Here is a 6,008-nt window from a genome sequence, read left to right as displayed (position 1 = left end):
ATCTCTGGGTGGCTGTCACCCTGTCCCCAAGGCCCCGGGGACAGCTCTTTCTCTGGGCCCTCCTGGTCGTGGTTTTTGGGCAGCTTGCTCTGTAAGTGTGGGTTCTCACTTAAATGAACCTGTGTGCTCTGAACCTGTGTGCTCTGGAAGACACAGGTCAGTTCCTCTCTGTGGGGATCCTCTGCTGGGTTGAGCTCCTGCACTGAGTGGGATTGCTTCATACATTGGCTTGTTTTGTTGCAAATGTGTGCAGCCGCCTGGGGACTGGAAGCTGTGCTCTGGAGGCAATGGAGAGGGTCCACTGAGAAGGGAATTGGCTGAGGCTAGATGGGTCTGTGTGGGCAGAAAGAAGTCAGTCTAGGTGAAGGGGAGGAGTGCAAGAAGGAGCACTCTGTGGCCACAGGGAGGATGGGTTACAGTTCAGTACAGCCAGCACTGAAGGCTGAGGGTCACAGGGAGGATGGGGTCCAGTTCAGTACAGTCAGCGCTGAAAGCTGAGGGTCAGAGTAGGCCTGGATTGGGTTTGAATTGGGGCAGAGGATGCCATGGCAGGGTCTTAAGAAAAGGAGGAAAAAAAAAAGTTAAACAGACAGAAAAAGTCAGAGATGAATGCTCTCTGGACAGGGGATTCCCTGCTTCCCCTTTCTTGGGCCGTGGCCAGTGTTGTCCGGAGTGTCCTGCCTTCCATCAGGGTGCTCTGATGAGAACAGTTGATTCCCCCGCCTGTCGGAGGAGGCCTGCCGTCCCCAGGGCTCTGCCTGGTGCTGGCCTGCTCTATGCCTGCAGCCCTGCCAAGAATGATGCCCATGCATCTTAGTGGCTGACTGCTCATATTGGTAACCATGTTTTAAAGAGGACTTTCCGAAAAAACAGTTTTCAAGGTTGGAGATTTGGTGTTCGGCTGAAAGAATTTCCATCTTCAATCATGAGATCTGAAGCTGAATGGGCTTTGGAGATGATCTGGTTGGGAACTGAGCCCCCTTGTCCCTGACAGTGGCTGTGTTTCCGCCTCGGGGAGGGCTGGCCCAGACCCCAGGGGTAAGGTGACAGCCTTCTGTGGGTGAGTAGGGATCCCTCCCTGGGGAGGGCTGTGCCCTGTGCCCCCTGCCCCCTCCATAATGCCAAAGAGGCGGCAAATCTTGCCCCTGCCTTCCCTCTCAGACCAGAGTGCTCTGCAGGGCTGGGCGGGGGACGCCTTGACCTTGGAGGGCTGTGCTGGGAAGGGAAGGCCTTGGGCCTGGGGTGTGTGCATGGGGGCCTGGGTGGTGAGGGCAGGGGTGACTGAGCGGAAGTCCCTGACTCTTTATAGCCCAGCCCGGGGCTGTTCAGTGTGAGCTGGAAGTACCCCACCCTTGCACTATGAGCAGCTTCCTTCCTGCCTGCTGGCAAGGACGGGTGGGGAGCGGGGAAAGGAGGGAAGGGAGGCGGGAGCAGCGGGAGAGGGGCGGGGAGCAGCTGCCGCCAGGCCTCCCCCTCCCGAGGATGTAACTCATGCTGAGTGCTGGGGGGCGGAGAGATTTGCTCAGCTTCCAGATTGCAGAATTGGTGCTGAGCCTTTGGTGAGGGCGTTGGGGCGGCTTCTGGGATGCTGAGGGTTCCGGGCTGTGGACGCGGTTGCCGGTCTGAAGGGGCTCCTGTGTTGATCCTGGGCGCCCCCTGGTAGCCCCAGCCCTTCTTGAGACAGCCACATGAGGGCAGCAGAGAGCCGAGGAGGAGCGATTTCAGCACAATCGTGGGATCAGACACCACGAAGGGAGGGGGAGACCCAGGGGATAGGAAAGGAGCCAACGGCATCGGGTGGTAGGTCTACACCAGCCATCTGGGGTCCCAAGGTGGCTCATTTGGGCCCACCCCCAGAGGAGCAGATTGGGACAAATCTGCGCCTCCCTGCTTCCTGCACAGACCACATGGGGTGTGTCAAACCGAAGGCTCAGGAGGTATCTTCACATACACACGTACACGCACACACATACATCCATGCATGCATGCACACTTTCTTACACATATATCCATGCATGCATGCACACACATACACATATATACATGCATGCATGCACAGTCACACACACATACATCCATGCATACTCTCTTACACACACAAATGTTTCGGGGAACGTTTGATTTCCCCACAAATTCATAAGTTGAGATCCTAGCCCCCAAGGTGATGGTGTTAGGAGGCGGGGTGTTTGGGAGGTGTTGAGATCGTGAGGGAGGAACCTTCCTGAATAGGATGCGTGCCCTTAAGAAAAAAACCCCAGAGAGATCCCTCACCTTTCCATCATGTGAGGACACAGTGAGAAGGCGCTGTCTATGAACATGGGTCCTCACCAGACCTTTCCATCATGTGAGGACACAGTGAGAAGGCACTGTCTATGAACCGTGGGTCCTCACCAGACATGGAATCTGCCAGCACCTTGATCTTAGACTGCGGCATCCAGAACTGTGAGAAATAAATTTATGTTGTCTTTAGGCCACCCGGTCCTTGGTGTTTTCTTACAGCAGCCTGAACAAACGGACACACACACATACATCCATGCATACGTGCACTCTCTCTCTCTCTCTCACACACACACACACACACACACACACACTCAGGGCAGTGGTGTTGAAGGAAGAATCTAAACCTGAAGGTTGATCAAGGCCTGGAGATTCTTGCATTTCCCTTGGGAAGGTGGAAGTTGGTCCAGACTCCCAAGAGCCCCCAGAGGCTGGCAGACCCCTGCCACTGCCAGGGTAAGGTCTTGGGTTTCCAGGTCACTGGGTCTGTCAGCCAGGAGGCAGAAGCGTCTCTGGAAGAGGTTCACCAGGCTCTGCCCCAGGGAGCCCACCTGAGGGCGGGGCAGCATCTCCCTGTGCCCCCTCCCTGCTCCCCAGCTGGGGAGCTCCCCCCCTCACAGTTTTGCAGTTGTCCATGGGTTGTGCATCCTGGGCTCCCTCACTGACCAGCCTCCTCATCTGGGCCCTGCCCCTCCAAAGCTAATTTGGGCCAAGAGCATCTGTGTGGATATGAAGGCTTTCCCATCCGTGGGAACTTGAAATTTCCTCCTTTTTTTTTTTTTTTTTTTTGAGATGGAGTCTCGCTCTGTTGCCCAGGCTGGAGTGCAGTGGCGTGATCTCAGCTCGCTGCAAGCTCCGCCTCCCGGGTTCACGTCATTCTCCTGCCTCAGCCTCCCGAGTAGCTGGGACTACAGGCTCCCGCCATCAAGCCCAGCTAATTTTTTTGTATTTGTAGTAGAGATGGGGTTTCACCGTGTTAGCCAGGATGGTCTCGATTTCCTGACCTCATGATCCGCCCGCCTCGGCCTCCCAAAGTGCTGGGATTACAGGCGTAAGCCACAGCGCCTGGCCGAAATTGTCCTTTATTCCGGGGATCCAGAGTGAGAACGAGGGGGTTTCAGGGGCAGGCTGAGGCCTCCTGAATGCTCACCATAGGTGCCCTGTCTTGGGCTCTGAAGGCCCTACATACAAAGTCATCCTATCTGCTGAGGCAAAGATATAAGGTTACCTCGGACTTGAGACGGATGGTTGTCAGGGATCCATCTGACAGGCCCTGCCCCCTTCCTGCCTCCTCCTGTCTCCCTCTCCTGCCACCCTCAGCCTGGCCCAGTTTCCTGGCATGGTTGCTGTGGCGCCTCTTGGGAATCGGAGCTTTGGGCCTCAAGTGTGCCCAGCATGGAAATTCCACAGCAACTGTCACTGGGATCGTCTGGACAGAACCCTCTCAGGTGCCCCCAGGAGGGGCTGGGCCCTCTCTCCAGACCAGGGTGGGAGGAGCAGCCTTTAGAGCCCCCTGCTGATCTGTGAGATGTGGAAATCCTGACTTCAAGCCCTGGAGAACCTTCAGTCATTGGTGACTTGTCTTTTTTCCTGCTCTCCCCAAATGGATTACATGCCCGACTCCCAGTGACCTCCCAGAGGCGTCCCTGACATATTTGCTGTTGATGATGACCTGAGGCTTCCGAGGGGCTCCCAGGAAATGGGGTTCCCAGTCTGTCGTCTGGTTTCCTAAGCACCAGCCCCGTCTGCGCTGGGCACTGCTGAGCCGGGCACTGCTGAGCCGGGCACTGCTGAGCCGGGCACTGCTGAGCCCACTTCCTAGAGGAGATGTTGTTCTGCTGCGCGGATCCAGAAGGGGGAGCTCTCAGGGCCTGTTCTTCTTCAGCCGGGAAAGATCGAATGCGCTCTTCCTGGACATTTAGCGCCCCAGCATTGCAATAGGCCTCTGCCGTCACCTTCACACCCTCACTGGCTCTGTCTGGCCCTGCACTGGACTGCTGGTCCCCCAGAGGGACAGAGATGAGGTCCTGACCACAATTCTCAGCTCAGCCAAATTCTCCCTAAGCCTTCCTCCCTTGCGAAGCCTTCCTCCCTTGTGAAGCCTTCCCTTATCCTTCTGGCCTTAAAACGATTCCTTCAGACCCTGAAGTCAAAGCATTCATGGTCTGTCCGGGCGCCGTGGCTCACACCTGTAATCCCAGCACCTTGGGAGGCCCAGGTGGGAGGATCGCGTGAGCCCAGGAGTTTGAGACCAGCTTGGGCAACATGGGGAGATCCTGTCTCTATTTTACAAAAATGAATAACATTTTTAGAAAAAGAAAAAGCATTCATGGTCTGCACCACTTCTTAGACTTGGGATCTAGGACTGTGTAACTTCTCTTGTCAGCTGCCATTATTTGTATTTGGCTCCTGTAATATTGTCTAATCATGGGTGAAAATATTGTCTTCTCAACGAATTGCAAATTTTGTAAGGCCAGGGACTGTATTGTATATCATATATTTCCTTAGGAACACTTCTCAGTGGGGGGCACATAGAAAGCTCTGGATAATTGTTTGTGGGTATATCAGGGAGAAGATGGAGTGGGAGACCTGTTTGTTTATTGTTTTTGTTTTTGTTTTTTGAGACAAGGTCTCACTCTGTTACCCAGGCTGGAGTGCAGTGGTGCTATCACGGCTCACTGCACCTGGGCATGGTGGCTCATGCCGGTAATCCCAGTACTTTAGGAGGCTGAGGAGGGTGGATCACTTGAGCCCAGGAGGTCAAAACCAGACTGGGCAACATAGTGAGACCCTGTCTCTGAAAAAAAATGCAAAAATTAGCTAGGCATGATGGCGCACACCTGTAGTCCCAGCTGCTTGGGAGGCTGAAGTGGGAGGATCACTTGAGCCCGGGAGGTCAAGGCTGCAGTGGGCCATGATTGTGTCACTGCACCCCAGCCTGGGAGACAGGGTGAGACCCCATCTCAGAAAAAGAAAAGTTAACAGGTAGCTGCAGCCTTGACTTACCTGGCTCAAGCGATCCTCTTGCTTCATCTTGCTAAATAGCTGGGACTACAGGTGTGTGCCATCACACCCAACTAATTTTTTCTTTTTGTAGAGATGAGGTCTCGCTATGTTGCCTAGGCTGGTCTTGAACACCTGGGCTCAAGCCATCCTCCCGCCTCAGCCTCCCAAAGTGCTGGGATTACAGGTGTAAGCCACCGTTCCTGACCATGCAAGACCTATTTGAACCTGAGTTCTCTTCTCAGGTCCTTGGTGTTGGCTGACTCAGCAGCTGATGATCCTTGGGATGGGCTAGGATATGAAGCTAGTGTTGGGTTAGCATTTTTATTCCAAGCTGGGGTAGGCTCTTAATTCTGCCCGATATCAGCAGAATGAACAGCAAAAGTTCTGGAGAGCTGACAGAGCAACCTCTGTATCTGGAGTTCTCTGGTCTCTCTCTCTCTCTCACACACATATCTCAAATTTCTTTAGCTCTTGTTATATGTGGTATGTAATCTCCCACCTGGCCTGGTGTGGTGGAAAAATCACTTAACTAAGAACCAGGAGACACTATTTTATGTCCAGCTCCATTTCTAACTTGTGGCACAACCTTGAGGCGGAGTCCTTGTCACTGTGAATATCTGTTTTATTGTCTAATATATGAAAGTGTTTGCTTCTGGCTCTAATATTTCATAAAGCAACAGAAACTCCCAAAGGAAATCCCAAGAGTTGCAAGTGTAAAGTTCAGG

General features: G+C 53.9%; 8 annotated features.

Annotated features, from left to right (window-relative positions):
- Window positions 1–2,147: part of a biological region, named in NCBI's record as "NOS3 5' regulatory region", that runs on past the window's edge. NCBI's record gives its function as "regulatory_interactions: NOS3".
- Window positions 1,147–2,147: a DNaseI hypersensitive site, noted in NCBI's record as "HS1; the nucleotide coordinates are approximate for this feature". NCBI's record gives the evidence for it as "EXISTENCE:in vivo cleavage assay evidence [ECO:0001075][PMID:11013235]".
- Window positions 1,271–1,430: an enhancer, noted in NCBI's record as "269 bp enhancer (-4907/-4638)". NCBI's record gives the evidence for it as "EXISTENCE:reporter gene assay evidence [ECO:0000049][PMID:11013235]".
- Window positions 1,280–1,300: a protein binding site, noted in NCBI's record as "FPD". NCBI's record gives the evidence for it as "EXISTENCE:protein binding evidence [ECO:0000024][PMID:11013235]".
- Window positions 1,937–1,977: an enhancer, noted in NCBI's record as "eHRE". NCBI's record gives its function as "mediates response to hypoxia when multimerized" and the evidence as "EXISTENCE:reporter gene assay evidence [ECO:0000049][PMID:12963737]".
- Window positions 1,937–1,977: a protein binding site, noted in NCBI's record as "eHRE". NCBI's record gives the evidence for it as "EXISTENCE:protein binding evidence [ECO:0000024][PMID:12963737]".
- Window positions 1,937–1,977: a protein binding site, noted in NCBI's record as "eHRE". NCBI's record gives the evidence for it as "EXISTENCE:protein binding evidence [ECO:0000024][PMID:12963737]".
- Window positions 1,937–1,977: a protein binding site, noted in NCBI's record as "eHRE". NCBI's record gives the evidence for it as "EXISTENCE:protein binding evidence [ECO:0000024][PMID:12963737]".

Source organism: Homo sapiens, chromosome 7, assembly GCF_000001405.40.
Source record: "Homo sapiens chromosome 7, GRCh38.p14 Primary Assembly".
Classification (NCBI taxonomy): Eukaryota; Metazoa; Chordata; class Mammalia; order Primates; family Hominidae; genus Homo; species Homo sapiens.
The sequence above is the reverse complement of the archived record's forward strand: the minus strand, read 5'-3'. Positions and strand labels throughout refer to the sequence as shown.